This window comes from Homo sapiens, chromosome 5, assembly GCF_000001405.40.
Source record: "Homo sapiens chromosome 5, GRCh38.p14 Primary Assembly".
NCBI classification, from domain to species: Eukaryota; Metazoa; Chordata; class Mammalia; order Primates; family Hominidae; genus Homo; species Homo sapiens.
The window spans coordinates 10,618,209-10,633,052 of NC_000005.10; the positions used below are offsets into that span (position 1 = coordinate 10,618,209).

At 49.1% G+C, this 14,844-nt stretch overlaps 1 protein-coding gene across 2 annotated transcripts in view, besides 9 other annotated features; it reads left to right on the forward strand.

Moving 5' to 3' along the window:
- Positions 1–14,844, forward strand: part of ANKRD33B (ankyrin repeat domain 33B) — a 93,747-nt gene that overhangs the window by 54,139 nt on the left and 24,764 nt on the right. Inside the window, exon 2 of one of the 2 annotated variants that reach the window (NM_001164440.2) lies at positions 125–254. In NM_001164440.2, the coding sequence (NP_001157912.1) occupies positions 125–254 (130 nt within the window). Of the gene's footprint in view, positions 1–124; positions 255–1,078; positions 1,171–14,844 lie in introns of those variants that run through there. The other variant, XM_005248343.5, reaches the window with a different exon arrangement.
- Positions 9,386–9,665: an enhancer, noted in NCBI's record as "active region_22369". NCBI's record gives its function as "activates an Ori minimal core promoter by ATAC-STARR-seq in GM12878 lymphoblastoid cells {active_cell/tissue: GM12878}" and the evidence as "EXISTENCE:reporter gene assay evidence [ECO:0000049][PMID:35858748]".
- Positions 9,686–9,735: an enhancer, noted in NCBI's record as "active region_22370". NCBI's record gives its function as "activates an Ori minimal core promoter by ATAC-STARR-seq in GM12878 lymphoblastoid cells {active_cell/tissue: GM12878}" and the evidence as "EXISTENCE:reporter gene assay evidence [ECO:0000049][PMID:35858748]".
- Positions 13,167–13,306: an enhancer, noted in NCBI's record as "active region_22371". NCBI's record gives its function as "activates an Ori minimal core promoter by ATAC-STARR-seq in GM12878 lymphoblastoid cells {active_cell/tissue: GM12878}" and the evidence as "EXISTENCE:reporter gene assay evidence [ECO:0000049][PMID:35858748]".
- Positions 13,294–14,036: an enhancer, noted in NCBI's record as "H3K4me1 hESC enhancer chr5:10631614-10632356 (GRCh37/hg19 assembly coordinates)". NCBI's record gives its function as "activates a minimal SCP1, AML or CMV promoter by ChIP-STARR-seq in primed H9 embryonic stem cells {active_cell/tissue: H9 hESC(primed)}" and the evidence as "EXISTENCE:reporter gene assay evidence [ECO:0000049][PMID:30033119]".
- Positions 13,294–14,376: a biological region, named in NCBI's record as "H3K4me1 hESC enhancer GRCh37_chr5:10631614-10632356".
- Positions 13,337–13,416: an enhancer, noted in NCBI's record as "active region_22372". NCBI's record gives its function as "activates an Ori minimal core promoter by ATAC-STARR-seq in GM12878 lymphoblastoid cells {active_cell/tissue: GM12878}" and the evidence as "EXISTENCE:reporter gene assay evidence [ECO:0000049][PMID:35858748]".
- Positions 13,467–13,546: an enhancer, noted in NCBI's record as "active region_22373". NCBI's record gives its function as "activates an Ori minimal core promoter by ATAC-STARR-seq in GM12878 lymphoblastoid cells {active_cell/tissue: GM12878}" and the evidence as "EXISTENCE:reporter gene assay evidence [ECO:0000049][PMID:35858748]".
- Positions 13,717–14,376: an enhancer, noted in NCBI's record as "active region_22374". NCBI's record gives its function as "activates an Ori minimal core promoter by ATAC-STARR-seq in GM12878 lymphoblastoid cells {active_cell/tissue: GM12878}" and the evidence as "EXISTENCE:reporter gene assay evidence [ECO:0000049][PMID:35858748]".
- Positions 14,397–14,466: an enhancer, noted in NCBI's record as "active region_22375". NCBI's record gives its function as "activates an Ori minimal core promoter by ATAC-STARR-seq in GM12878 lymphoblastoid cells {active_cell/tissue: GM12878}" and the evidence as "EXISTENCE:reporter gene assay evidence [ECO:0000049][PMID:35858748]".

Genomic DNA, 14,844 nt, shown 5'->3' on the forward strand with positions numbered 1-14,844 from the left:
CCAGGTCCCTGTCATTGCCTTGTCCAGCCCCCTGGAGGGTAGTGGGTGCCCCTCGGGGTCCCCAGTGCTGACCCACCATGCTCCGACTCTGCCCCTCTGACCCGCTTCCCCTCTTCATTTCTAGACCGGCCTTATTGTCGCCTGCTACCACGGCTTTGTGGATACCGTGGTGGCCTTAGCAGAGTGCCCCCACGTTGACGTCAACTGGCAGGACAGCGAGGGGAACACAGCCCTAATCACAGCTGCACAGGCAGGTAAGAGCTGGCTTTCCCCTTTCCTCTCAGAGCCGTGGCCAGAGCACCGCCGCCGGGCAGCCCGGGCTCCCGTTGCGATGCAGTCAGGATGGAAATGATCAGAGACCATGTCCTGCTACCAAGGGGTGCCAGGGAAGGGCTGATTGCTGTGACCACACGCTATGCATTTACCCACTTGTTCAGAATTCAGTATGGGCAGATCAAGCTCCGATACTGCCCAAAGTTTTTGAATATGAATCTGTACCAGAAAGCCACCCTTGTCACCGCTTCACCTGAAGCCTCACACTCCATCCTGCTCCCGAAGACTGGGGGTGGCACGAGGCTGGCAGACCCACCAGTGGAAGAGACACAATCATGTGTCTCAGTGATAGTTAATCATGAAAGTAGACACGTGTAGAAGGTGACTTTGCACTTCACCTGTAGAGTTAAAGAAACGCCAGGAACTGTTTCTGAGAGCTGTTAGAGTATCCGTGTAACAAGCTGAGATGAAGTCAGTGGGAGCATCTTGTGAGCGGGTATCCAAGCATGTGGCCCTCAGCCCATCAGTCATCAAGAAGACAGTGCTTATGTCAATATTGCCAAGTGCATTGCGACTCTCCTGCTTTGGAACTGTATCCAGACATTTTTTTGAGGACAGACATGAAACCTATGCTTGCCTCTTCATAATCACACTTCATTTGGAACAGTGGTCTTGACCAGGTTTATCACTGACCCCTTTCACATTTCTTTGCCTCCAAAGATTCTGTCTGTTTCATCGGTCAAGTTCTCAGTTGCAAGCAAAGAAGCTGCCTGCAGCTGAGCCAGGAAGAACAGGCGCTTGTGTGTTGAAGGAAGGAGGGGAAGCTTACACGGTTGTCGGGTTGTTGAGAATCCCACTCAGGGCCTGGAAACTGGAGGAAGTGCCCCCGACCACACTGTATGTTGATTCTGGTTGGGAAATGGCTGTTGCTGTCACCAAAAGGAGACCTCCTTGTCCCTTGTTGCTTCACAAGCTCCTGGACCAAAGCCACCCTGGGTGGATCTGATGGGTGGGGGGCCAGGGAGGCTGGAAAACCAGTGTTTGACAGTTTCATCCCCTGTGGTGGGAGTGGTCTGGGCACCCTACTTTTCAATCAAGACGAATAGAGTGGGGGAACTCTTCAAACTTAGAAAGGGCCAGGGGCTGTGCTAACATGTGTTCACCTCCTCAGGTTTCGAAGCGTGAGGCATCACTTCCATGGAGGGTTCCAGGCTTTGAAAACCTAGCAAGAGTGTGAAAGGGCTTTGTAAGGCATTCAGTGATTCGTTTCCTCTCGTGGGCCAGCTGCCATGTCAGGGACCAAGGATACAGAAGTGCAGGGCAGCCCCGTCCTTGAGTAATTCTGCAGCTCATGGGACAGAGAAACACACGAAGCCCAGCACCATCTGTCTGCCGGAGCTTGGTGCTGTGGGATGAGAACACTCTATCTAGCCTGAAGTTCATGATAAGGTCTTGCAAGAAGGGGATTTGAGCTGGGGCTGAGAGGGAGCCGGGCAGTTCTCAGGAATGGCGAGTCTTAGGGACAGTGTAGGTGGGCATGGCTGTAGGATGGCGTGTGTCTAGGAGAGATGAGGGAAGGATGGGGACCAGACCATTAAGGGTCTAAGCCCAATGCAAGGGAATGTATTTCAGTAGCGTGAGGCTGCGTGAGTGGTGACAGGGGTGAGAGGATCCCAGGGGCGTAGCAGAGGGCTCAGAGCACAGGGAAGGGCCGGGAGCTGTGTGGCTAGAAACACAGTTGGCGGTGGTGGTGATGCGGGCCATGGAGGAGAGCTGGGGGTCTAGGATGGCTTTGGGCTTTGGGACAGGGGATAACACCAACTGCAAAGGGCATATAAGTAAAAGAAGATGAATGGGAGGAACATTGGTTTTGAGCTGGCTATCATGACTTTGAAATGCTCTGAGACCTCTAAGTAAAGAGGTCTCCATGGCAAGTCAGGAAGAGAAGGAGCTCCAAAATCTGGTCCCTGCTAGAAATACAGATGAGGGACAGGTGTTGCTGGTGAGAGCTGGGACAAGGATTAGGTCATGACAATATGAGAATGTACGATAAGAGGGGATTTCTTTTCTTACTGATCTGCCAGAGCTCTTTGTGCGTTAGAGATAATAGCTGTGCTTTGATACCCATGAGGTGCTTTCCAGAGTCTTGCCTGTTTGCAGGTGTTTTGATTTTATATTCACCCATGATTGTTTCTTCAGAGTCAGGAGCACATCGTATATTTTTGGCAAGAATATGGCATTGGCCATGATATGTCCTTGGTGTGTCCTATCAGGACACATACTGCCAGTGTGTCCTGGTGTGGGTGATGCTAAATTTGACGAACTGCTTACATTTCTCCATTTTAAAGGCAGATATTTCCCCTCTGTAATTAGTAAGTAATCTGCAAGGTGATACTTAGAGATTGTATGAATATCCTGTTTCCCCACCAGTTTTTGCCATTGATAATCCTTTTCTGAATCATTTATTTTACACTTATTATCTGATATTTTTCTATAAAGAAGAGCTTTCCTTTAGCCCCACCCTTTTTTTGGTACCATTACTCATTTTTTAAAAATCTCGTGTGTTCTACTTCAATAACGCCTTTGTTCTTTTCAGTGCTGAAGTTATCCCAAACCCAGCCAGTTGGTAACCCTGAAGATGGCTCCAGTGTCCTTTTGTCATATTTCTGTCAGTTTTGAGTATTTTCTTGATTTATGGCACACCAAAGTGTTCCACATTCTCCCTGGACTTTCCCAGTCCCTGTCTGTAACCAGCTGTATCTTCAAGGAATGATAGTTCTTTTTTTAGTGAGGAATGGTATTTAGAAACCAAAATCTGGACTCTAGCTGTGCTCATTCACACTAAATGTTATTGCTTCTAGGCATTTCAGTGAGCAGAGTTAGAAAAAAAAATATTTAAAAAATAAGGATACCTCCAATCCAAATGCAACACCATAGTATTCCTCCTCTTCACCCTTTCCATATGCTTCCCCCATTCTTTGTCGGCAAGAAACCTGGTTTGCAGCAATCACAATGCATTTACCCATTTTCCTGTCCTACGACAAATGTGCACAAAGTGGTGATACTAAAGGATAATTTTCAAAAGCTTAAAAATTTGACTCTTAGGTGGACAGAAAGTGAAAACTCATTAATTAGTGATGGGCTAGTAATTAGTTAAGGCCAGTTCAAAGGAAATTTGAAGAACAGGCACATAGAGGCAATCACAAATGCTGAAATACATCTGCTAATAGATGCAAAACTGGTTAATATCCTATAAGGCAATAGAATATAATGTTGTGGGTTATCTTTTCTATAAGGTGATGTTATGGACTGAATGTTTATGTCCTCCCCCTCAAATTCATATGTTAAAACCCCAACTCCCAATGTGATGCATTAGAAGGTGGGGATTTGGGGAAGTAATTAAGTTTAGATGAGATCATGAGAGTAGGGCCACCATGATGGGATTAGTGTCCTTATAAGAAGAGGAAGAGACCAGAGCTCGCTCCTTCCCCACCATGTAAGGACACAGTGAGAAGACAGCTGCCTGCAAACAGGAGGAGGAGCCTCCAGAACTGTGAGAAATAAATGTCTATTGTTTAAGCCACCTAGTCTATGGTATTTTGTCATAGCAGCCTGAGCTATAACAGGAAGTAAATTATATCTCTACCAGATACAATGCAATTGCCTTGCTGTGGACAATCAGTTTTACAGCTTAACTTCTAACCTTGTAGAGTTGTGGAGCAGCCTAGGAACTGAATACTGCCAGAGGGTCCCCTGGACAGCACCCAGAACCCCACATCCAGCACCAGCACTTCCCTGGAGGGAAAAGAGACCCAGTCACCTCATTAGCTCAGTTTCCAGCTATGAACAGTTTTTTTTTAACCAAAGAATCAGAAATTAGAATACCACCACTGCTACCAGCATCAGACCTAAGTAAAAGCCCATATTTCTTTGTGGTTGTTTTCTTCCAACATATTCTACCAAAAGTTATTGGTCTTATAGCACCATATTCAAAAACGCGGTTAAATTTTTTTAACTTTATGCAGTCTCTCCAGATTTCAAATTGCTTCCCTTTCCACAAATGCTTATGTTTTTCACTGAGTCAGTGACCTATTGAATTTTTCTAAGAATATGGATTGTTAAAATTTGAAAAATGTTCTTTTGCTTCTTGCAATAAACCAATTTCATTTTTTAAATTGTTTCCTAGGCACTAGACAACCGGGGAGCAATCGATCTATTTCAGATGAAGATGCTGCCCTGAAACCTGTAGCCCAGCCCCTTCTTTTTGAATCTCACTGTCTTTACAGTGATCCAGGGTTGTTTTTTGTTTTTGCTTTATTTTATTTTATTTTTTTTTTTTTCTGGCTTGCTCATTCTTCTGCAGGGACTGTGCTCATCCTTCTCTGGTTTATTTTAAGTCAAGGATGACACAGGTCCTCTTGGAGATTGGAGGGCTCTCTGGCAAAGGAAGAAGGAAAGGGCTCCAGCTGATTTCCATCCAGGCTCAGTGCCCAGCAGCCTGGGGCGTGGTGGGAAGAACTCGGGTCCAGGTGCAGGCCCCGCAGCCACTCCCCTCCTGGGCTGTGTAGTTTTACTTCCAAGTTGAGTGTGGCATGGGAGCCTGTAACAACCAAGGAGCAGCCCCCACCCTTTGCCTGGTGGGACCTCAGGGGGAAGGTGGCCTCGGGAGCTTAGTGCCCTCCCTGGCCTCATGTGCCTGGAGTGTTGAAAAATGGCATCAGTGGGTCTCAAAGCGTCCCCATAGACCACCTCTCCTTTTCTGCCCTTCTATCTGTGGGGCATTGCCGGAATTTTGCAGGGTTCACTGAATTAGGTGTAATACCCCATCCTCCTCATCAACAGAGGCCTGTCCCTGCCATCTTCCTTAAGGAACAGAAATTGGGTGGTGTCCCTCGATGGTTCTAGTCACACTCCTGGCTTCTCTCTGTTGCCTTTGGTCACAGATGGTGTCTTCATCTGCTTAGGCTGTGATAAAGGAAATAAGCAGCTCTCTGGGGCCTCTTTTGTGAGGGCACTAATCCCACCACGAGGACCCCTCCGTCAGGACCTAATCACCTCCGAAAGCCACCTGCTGTAGTGTCATCCTGGAGGCAGGATTTTCGCACAGGAATTTCGGAGGACAGAAACATTCAGACTGTGGCAGGTGGGAAGCTGGATAGGAGGGAAGATTCCTGTGTTCTCAGCTCTCTTGGGAGCTGGCCCACCCAGGGGTAGCCGTGCTGCCAGACAGAGCTGGAGTCCAAGTCAGGTAGCAGGATCGGGTGGCCGGGGTATGTACCAGGGTCTGGGCTATCCTGAGGGCAGCATCACAGCTGGAAACCTGCCTGGGTGGACAGGAGGAGGCGGGCAGAGGCCTCAGCCATTATCCTGCTTCCTCCACTTGGCCTGGCTGATGTTCTTGGAGGCTGATTTTAAAATACAATACACAGTGTTTGGGGGGAAAATGACCCCACATGAGCAAGGAAATTAGAGGTGAATACCTCTTCCACCTCACTGTCAGCCCTCTCTTCAGTCTGCTCTCTGGAGATAACTGTTGTTAATGATTTGATGCCTAGATGGGTTTACTCTGCCTTTTCAATTTAAATAAAATCATTATTATAATGTATTTTTTCTTTACTTCTTGTTTTCTTTCGTTCTTTCTTTCTTTTCTTTTTTTTTTTTTTTTTGAGTCTGAGTCTTGCTCTATCGCCCAGGCTGGGGTGCAGTGGCACAATCTCAGCTCTCTACAACCTCTGCTTCCCAGGTTCAAGCGATTCTCTTGCCTCAGCCTCCCGAGTAGCTGAGATTATAGGCGCCAGTCACCGTGCCCAGCTACTTCTTGTATTTTCAGCAGAGGCGGGGTTTCACCATGTAGGCCAGACTGGTTTTGAACTCCTGACCTCAAGTGATCCGCCCACCTTGGCCTCCCAAAGTGCTGGAATTACAGGCGTGAGCCGCCGGGCCTGGCCTTTTTTTTCTTTTTTACTGGCTTTTGTTATCTTCCCCTACTTACTGATTTGCTTGAGCTCTCTGTGGCCGCCACTGTGTGCACCCACCCTCTGGCCTGGGCTCTGATCCCTGGACACCCAACCTAGGCTGCTGCCTGAGGCTTTGGGACTGAATTGTTGAGGTTGCATACGGAGGCAGAGGGGAGAGGGACTTTACACCATTTAAACAAACACAGATTAAAAAGCTTCCTTGTGTGTGTCTTAATTGCCTCAATGTGCCGAAGAGATTTTCCCTAATTTCTTTCTGAACCTCCAGGGGCTGCCCCTGTCCCCATGGGCATAGTTTCCTTAGACACTGGCTCCCAATCTTGCGCCTCCGGCGTCAGCATCACCTGGGCTGGCTCATGTGAGCATTAACACAGATCTGGTGGAAACACAGACTGCCAGGCCCTGCCCCTGGAGTCTTTCTTTGAATAGGCCTGGGGTGGGGCCCAAGAATGAGCAGATCAACAGGTTTCCTGGTGAGGCTGATGCCACTGGCCCAGGGACCCCACATTGAGGATGGAGAGCTTTGAAGATTTTATGCCTGATGACGGCAAAGGACCCCTCTCAGTGGGCACTGAAGACCAGCAGAGTCACAGACCCCACGAGAGATGTTGTCAGACAGACACAGAGGCATCACGGAATTAAAGTGAAAATGAGGAAGGCAGGTGAGCATGTGTTCATGACTTTCCTGTGCTGTTTTGCCAAAGAGGCTGTTTAGGCCCAATCAGGTGATGTCCCATTTTAATCAATTTCATAACCAGTTTTATTTCTTTGATGATTTGTTAATTTCAAAAGCTGTCCATGCATATTTGCTTACAGCCAAAAATGACTACAAAAGTATTATCAGGGAGGAAGAAAAAGATCCCTTCTCTGTCTTCCAAATATTCCAGCTCCCTTATCAGCACTCAGGAGTCACCTCTTCAGACCTCATTCAGTCCTTTCCAAACACACACGTATGTATGTGCGCTTTGTATTCACATGACTGGGCTAGTGCTGTTGAGACTGTGTTTTTAGTGGTTTTGTTCACATGGTTATTAATCTAGAAGCTCCTGCTGTGTCGGTGTCCCTGAGCCCTGCCAGGCGCTCGTAGCCCTGCCTTCCTGCACGGGGATGTGTGGCTCATGCCCGGTTCCCCACCAAGACTTCAAATTTGAGAGGCTGCGTTATGACTGGCCTTCACTCACTGTGGTGGACCCGGCTCTTAGGCCAGTCCTTGAACATGAAGTACTTGCTTCTTAAATATTTGTTGGAAAAGAGGATATTGTGTAAAATGCATGAACCGTGGTATACTTAACTGTCCCAGTTACTGGACAGGTGGGCTTTTGAGTTAATCAACGGCAGCAAGGCTGTAGTGAAGTCTTTGGATCTGGGGTGCATCTCTGAGGACAGCGTGTTAGGATCCTGGCAGCTTGAAGCATGTTGAGTGACAGGTGGTCTCAGAGGGCTGAACAGAGGAGTTGATGAGGGCCTGTCAATTACGGGGGGAAGGGTAGAGTTAAGGGAACCAACATTGAAAGGATTAAGGGGAGGGACTCTGCAGAGAGTGACCCAGGCCAAGAAGCTGGAACCCGAGAGGCAGCCTCGGCCTAGAACCCGAGTGACACAGGCCAAGAAGCTGGAACCCGAGAGGCAGCCTCGGCCTAGAACCGCAGCCAGGGGCCGGAGTGGGAGGCAGGGCCAGATGTCCCGCTCCTTCCACCCTGGTCCCCTGCTGAGCCAACCCAGAAACCTCATTGGGGCGGAAACTGGGCAGGTGCTGTTGGTGCAGGTCAGCTTCCTAGGCCGAAAGCAGGGCAAGGAAGAGGAGAAGCAATGTGCAGACACACTCTTAGAACAGAATTGCTTCAGCAAGGGCTGTGCCTGTTTTAAGTGTATGCAGCTGCCAAGTGGTCTTTAGAAAGCTGTGGCGATTTCTCCTTTCCCCTGAGTGTCCAAGAGTGTTCTTGCAAGCCCTGGCTGAGATCAGTCTTTTCAGTATTTCCCTACTCAAATGAACCAAAACTCTGGTTTTCAGTTGTATTTCCCCAGCTCTCTTTTGAGCCTAGTACCTGTTAGGATGCTTTTGGCTTCAACCACAAGGACACTGCCTTCTCTTGCAACACAAGACATCTGCGGGCGATGTTGCAGGGTTGCTTCACTGAGTAGCTGGGTGATGCTGGGACCTAGAGCCACTTCTCAGAAATACATTCGCCTTTTCCTTCATGGTCCCAAGGTGGCCCCAGCTGCTAGAAGTGCCACGGCTTCACGTTGCAACACTCAGGGACATCAAGGAAGAGGAGCAAATCCCTGTCGGCGTTTCCCTTTATAAGACAGGAAAACATTTCCAGAAGGCTCCAGCAGAGTATCGTTGCCATCTCACCAACCAGGGTTGCGTCACAAGCCCGTGCCAAACCAGTGATGGAGGATGGCTTGTGTAGACAGCAGTCGCACTAAGCAGAATCAGCATTGTGAAGCGCAATCTTAAAGCAACCATATGTTTATATTATTTGCTATGGCAACTGGGTTGGTTGTCTGAGAGTTGGAAGCTCTGGGTTTCTGGAGGACACAGCATTTATGAGTACGAATTCGGATGCAAATGCCTTCATCTGCCTTTTGAGTGTTCTCTAAAAAGTCTAATTTCCTCGGCTATTTAATGCACAATAAAAATACAGCCAAATCTGTACTAGGTCTGTAAATGGAGAGAACGTTTGAAAATAAATCCCCATGTAATCCCTAAGTCTCATTTAGCCAGTCATTTCAACTTTCACCACCGCTCCACTAACAAAAATAAAATAAGATAACCAAAGAAAGGAACAAGAAGTCCCATGGATAGAGTTGTGTGTTTATTTCTGTTTCCTTGTTGTGCTTTAACAGAATAGCATGGACGTGGTAAAGTGAGGAAACGCCAGGGGTCTCTTTGAGCTGGTGATGGGATACAGCACGTGAAGCTTGTTTTGGGTATAAGGAACCTCTGATGTGTGCTTGCAACTTGTTATTTCTTGCATTTAATTGTAAAATTCTGAGGCTACGTGCTGAGAGCCAGCCTGGCAGGATGCTGCCCGGGGACGGGGACAGAACGGGAGGGATTCTCAGGGGCAGCTGTGGGTTTGGGCTGCGGGGGAGCCCTGGTTCCTGAGCTGAATCGGGGAGAGTCCCAGTTCAGAGGAGAATTTATGACTTGGTCAGAACCCAGGAACAATGCCTCTTCATGTTATTTATCTTATTTTATTAGCAGTGCACACGATCACGATCTTAGTGTGATCTCATTGTGATGTTCATGTTGTTTTGAAGTGCTTCCTTTTTTCTCAGTTTATACCGTTTCAAATAAGAGAGTAGAACTTGGTGAGTCTCGGTTTCCCAGCGTTGCCTTATCTTTTCCTGTGAGCTTTTCTGAGCTCTTCTGATTGGCCATGGCAGCGCCACACCCCTGCCCGCTGGCCAGCCAGGAGGGCTCCTCAGCCAGCTTGGGGCTTGCCTGGCTCCTCCTTCAGACCCCTGCCTGCCCTGCAAAGAGCAGGGATGCTGCCCTCCCCTACTAACCCTGCCCCTCCATCTGCATGGTAAATGCCTTATGCTAAGAATTCCTGGAGTCTGTTCATGCCGCGTGGCTGGTATGATGTCATATTTCCAAAGCCGACAGCTCCCTCTACTGGCCTGGTCTGGAGAACTGCAGTTTGAGTGCCTTGAGTCAGTCAATCTTAGACAACCCAATTCTGTAACATTTTCCAATTTTTAGAGCAGTTTGTGTTTATTGCCTGTTTTTTTTAGATGGAGTTTTGCTCTTGTTGCCCAGGCTGGAGTGCAATGATGTGATCTTGGCTCACTGCAATCTCCGCCTCCCGGGTTCAAGTGATTCTCCTGCCTCAGCCTCCTGAGTAGCTGGGATTACAGGTGCCTGCCACTACGCCCAGCCAATTTTTTGTATTTTTAGTAGAGACGGGGTTTCACCATGTTGGCCAGGCTGGTATCGAACTCCTGATCTCAGGTCATCCACCCACTTCGGCCTCCCAAAGTGCTGGGATTACAGGCGTGAACCATTGCGCTCGGCCAGCCCAGCTAATTTTTATTTTTTGAGATGGGATCTTGCCATGTTGCCCAGGCTTGTATCTAACTCCTAAGCTCAAGTGATCCTCTAGCCTCAGCCTCCCTGGCCTCTTCGGGCCTTGGCCTCTCTGCTGGGATTACAGGCACGAGCCACCTTGCCCACCCTGATACTTTCAATAAATAAACTTTTCCCAAAGGAGTGGTAGGAATGTTTCAGCCTTTTCATCTAATGCATATTTATTGAGCACCCCAGAGCATGCAGTCAGTTGGAAGTTTTAAGCATGTGAGCTGGGTAACGAGGGCTGTGGCGGCTGTGGGAACCCATATATGCATGGGAACGTGGACGATGAGACACCGTGGGTCAAGGGGCACCAGGGAAGACCTGGAGTTGGAAGGGATGGCTCATCAGGTCACCAAGTAAAAAGAGGAGGCAGAATATTCCAGGTAGAGGGACTCCTTGTGCAGAGGCCACTAGATTAGAGGAAGTGTGGCTCATGAGTGAATTACACGGAATGCTGGCTGTTTGACCATAAAGTGGATTGGGAGGGCATTGGCGGTGAGAGCTGAGGGTGAAGAGGTAAAAACCAGCTCATTGAAGAGTTGAGACCTCATCTAAAGAGCAGAGCCCATGGAGAGTTTCGGATGAGTAGTGGGGATGGTCAGAGGCCCCTGTTGGTGTCACCGTGCTGCTGGTGTGGAGAATGAATGGGGGCAGAAGTGGGACAAAGGAGGCTAGTCAGGACAGGAGCTGTGGCCCCATGGGGACGTGGTAGCCCAGGTCAGGGATGGAGAAACAAAGACAGTTTTAGGAAATTTAAACTTTTTTTTGTAGAGATGAGGTCTTGCCATGCTGCCTATGCTGGTCTCAAATTCCCGTGCTCAAGTGATGTCAGAGGTGCAGTTGGCAGAATGTGGTGATTGCTTGGGTGAGGGAGGATGTGGAGGGCTTGAGACTGAGTCCAGCCGTCTGGCTTGGGTGATGGGGTGACTGGTGGTGTTCATCACTGAATAAGGGATGTGGGAGAGGAGTAGCTTCGGAGGAAAGATGTTTTGGGTTTGATGCATTGAGTTTGTAGGATACCCATGATGAAATACTCAGTAGACAGATACTCAGGTAAAAAACTGAAGAAAAGAGATAGAACTGGAAAGAGTTGATGTGGAAGCTTTAGAGCTGAAACTTGGATCCACAGGAGTGTATAGGATCACCAAAGGAGAGTGTATGAGATAAGGAGGGGGCTTAGCAGGCAGCTGAGGAACAGCAGCATTTCAGGAAGGAGAGAACAGGAGCTCAGAATGTTGAGAGGGCGGAAAATCAGAAGGGTGAGCATCTGCATGTCCATGGAAAGAGCGTGTTTCAGAAAGGATGAAAGAGAGGAGTGAGTGGGAAATGCTGGGGAGATGTTGAATGTGATGAGAACTGACAAATCACCACTGAGTCTCATTGTAAGAAGGTCACTGGGGACTGCTGGGGGTGGTTTCAGCAAAGTCAGAGAGTGTCATTAGCAACAGTGAGAGTAGATGGATCTGGAATTGGACTGAAGCGGAGTTGAATGGTTGATGGAGGGTGGCGGGAACATGAAGACGGCCCACAGGGGTTGCTGTGAGTCACATATGCTTTTAAGATGAGAGACCCTTGAGCATGCATGTCAGCTAGTTATTGCTGTGTAACAAACAACTCCCATGCTCTGGGATGTTTTTATTGCTTATGCATCTGTGGATGGGCTGGGGATCTGTTGATCTAAACTGTCCTTGCTCAAGTCTGTGGGCAAGTCGGGGACCTGTTCTTGGGCACTTCGGCTGGGGCAGCTCTGCTGCATGCATTACTCATCCTCTTCCTGGGAGCAGCGAGCCAGCCTGGGCATGCTCTTCTTGGGGAGACAGCTGAGGCACAAACATGCATGAAAGTCTGGATAAGTACATTTCAACCTTCTGCTTCCATCACGCCTGCAAACATCCCATCGGCCAAGGTTCCACTAGACAGAGAACTGGGAAGTCACTTAACAAAGGGCAGTGTGAAGAAGATGGGCCATTAGTGCATTGTAGGAACTAAGGGCCTTCTGAAGGTTCACTAAAATCAACTTGCAAAAGGCAGGTGAATAAGAGAAGAGGCATACAAAAGAGGCCATGTTCCCATAACATGCGTACATGGGAGCCTTCGGAATGAAAACCCAAAAATGCAGGAGGAATTTTCCATTTTTCTGCTTAGGTTCAACAAAGTGTGGACAGTTATGTAGAAATATAGTTGGACAGGCCAGGCACGGTGGCTCATGCCTAGAATCCCAGCACTTTGGGAGGCTGAGGCAGGAGAATGGCTTGAACCCAGGAGGCTGAGGTTGCAGTGAGCCAAGGTCGCGCCACTGCACTCCAGCCTAGGTGACAGAGTGAGACTGTGTCAAAAAAAAAAAAAAAAGAAGAAGAAATATAATGCTAATAAATAGACTGAGTGGGGAAACCCCACAGGCCTGCCTGTCTCCTCGATTCTTCTAGGTTTCTCTGAGCAGCACTTCTTCCTTCTGGGAGTGACTCTCCCTGGAACAGGGGTCTTATGACCTACAGTCGGACATGGCAAGTCAGATAATTTCTTTATGTTAGGGCAGTATTTTTAGGTTTTAGGGAACCTTTAGGCTGGCCTTAGGGAAAAGGGGTTCTGGTTTCAAAGATCTGCCTTGGGGAAGAGGGATTCCAGTTTGGATGGCTGGCCTCAGGGAAGAAGGGACTGAGACATGGGAGGGCAGGAGGGCAGAGAGAAACCTTTGCTTCTGAGGCCTTCACTGTGGGGTATTGCTTTCTGAGCCCCAACAGCATTCTGAGGGAAGTGGGTCTGCAAGGAATGAGAGGTTGATGAGAAACAGGAGGGATCTGATAAATATTCCACAGCAGTGGGCAGGGAGTGGCTGTCAAGCACAGGAGGGGAGGAGCAGGGATAAGCCTCCTTCAGCAAGAGGAGAATCCCCTGCGTTTTCAATAGGAAAAGTGAACTGAGGATTGACGAGGTTCATAAACTTGGAAAGAAGAGCTTTCTTCTCATAAAGGGTTGCAGCCTGCAGGGTGGCTATTGTGGCAGGGAAGCAGCGCCTCTGGCCAGAAGCCAGAAACAGACCCTTCCAGGGGCAGAAGAACAAGACAGAAGAACAATGCATGCTGAAGGAGGTGGCTCAATACACATATTCCATAAGCTATGGGAGAAGCATTGAATATCGATGAGAGGAGAAACACGCAAGTGTGCAATCGAGCTCCGTGCCTCTCCCTGGGACCTGTGTTCAAAAAGCAACAGCGTTAGCATGATCTGAGGGTGGAGTTTTCAGGCCCTGACCTCAAAAGGTGAAGCAGAGGACATGAAAACCCTCACTGCGCGTCCTCTGTGGACCTGCCGGACGCACTCCAAAGCCATGGCCAGTGTCTCTCATGAGGACGGAATGCTGGTCGGTTGTTTCATCCAAATTGCAGAACGGCGGGGCAGCATCAGGCGGTTGGTTTATATCAGTGGAGGAGTCTTTAGAACGGGCTGGTTTCTGTTTAGACTTAGGAAAGAAAGCCTCACGGTTAGCAAGGAATGGGTATAACGAGGCGCATTGCCCTTCCATCCTGTCATAGCCAGGACTCAGTTTTCAAGGGTTCTCTGGGGTCCCCTTGGGCAGGAGGGGGTCGGTTCAGTCCGTTGGATGGCTCAGGATTTCACTTTTCCTTCTCGGAGGCCCGTGAATGTGGGCAGCGTGGGGGGCGATGGGGGAAAGCCGAGGGACTTCCCTTCTGGTGGTTTCTGTTCCCTCTATGAACTTGAAGATGAGTCATCCAGGAGAGGGGTTTGCGTGAGGTCGGTGACTTCCATGTGAAAAATTTAACATTTTCCCCATGGGGCCTGGGGAAGAGTCAACCGGGAAGCACAGGAGCACTGCTGGGGCAGGCTGAGAAGCCGGTCGGGCCCGGGTGGCGTGGGTGTCCACCTCTTTGTGTCCCCCAACGAAGGCACCTTCGCATCCATGCAGAGCGGAACCAGGGGTGTGGCGGGGCCAGGCGTCATTTCCAGCTTTCCTCTTTTGCATACCACAGACCTGTCCATCCACTCATTTAGGAGCTCTCTGAATCAAGCACTCCTCTCCCTCCTCCTGCCCGGGGTTGGGGGCTGGGCTCCATCTCTGCCTCCTGAATGCTCCCGTGGCTTCCTGGTGAGCTCCCCACCACTGGGAGAGCCTCAGGTCCAGGGTGGAGAGGCCCCACACCAGGCCGCACAGCCAGCTGTGAATCATGGTCCTGACCTTGCACTCTTTTTGAACGGCTCTATGCTAGTTTCCCCTTTTTTATTTTTATTTTTATTTATGTATTTATTTTGAGACAGTGTCTTGCTCTGTTGCCCAGGCTGGAGTACAGTGGCATGATCTCTGCTCACTGCAACCTCCTCCTCCTGGTTTCAAGTGATTCTCCTGCCTCAGCCTCCCGAGTAGCTGGGATTACAGGCACCCGCCACCACTCCCAGCTAATTTTTCTATTTTTAGTAGAGATGGGGTTTCCCCATGTTGGCCAGGCTGGTCTTGAACTCCTGACCTCAGGTGATCCACCCCCCTCAGCCTCCCAAAGT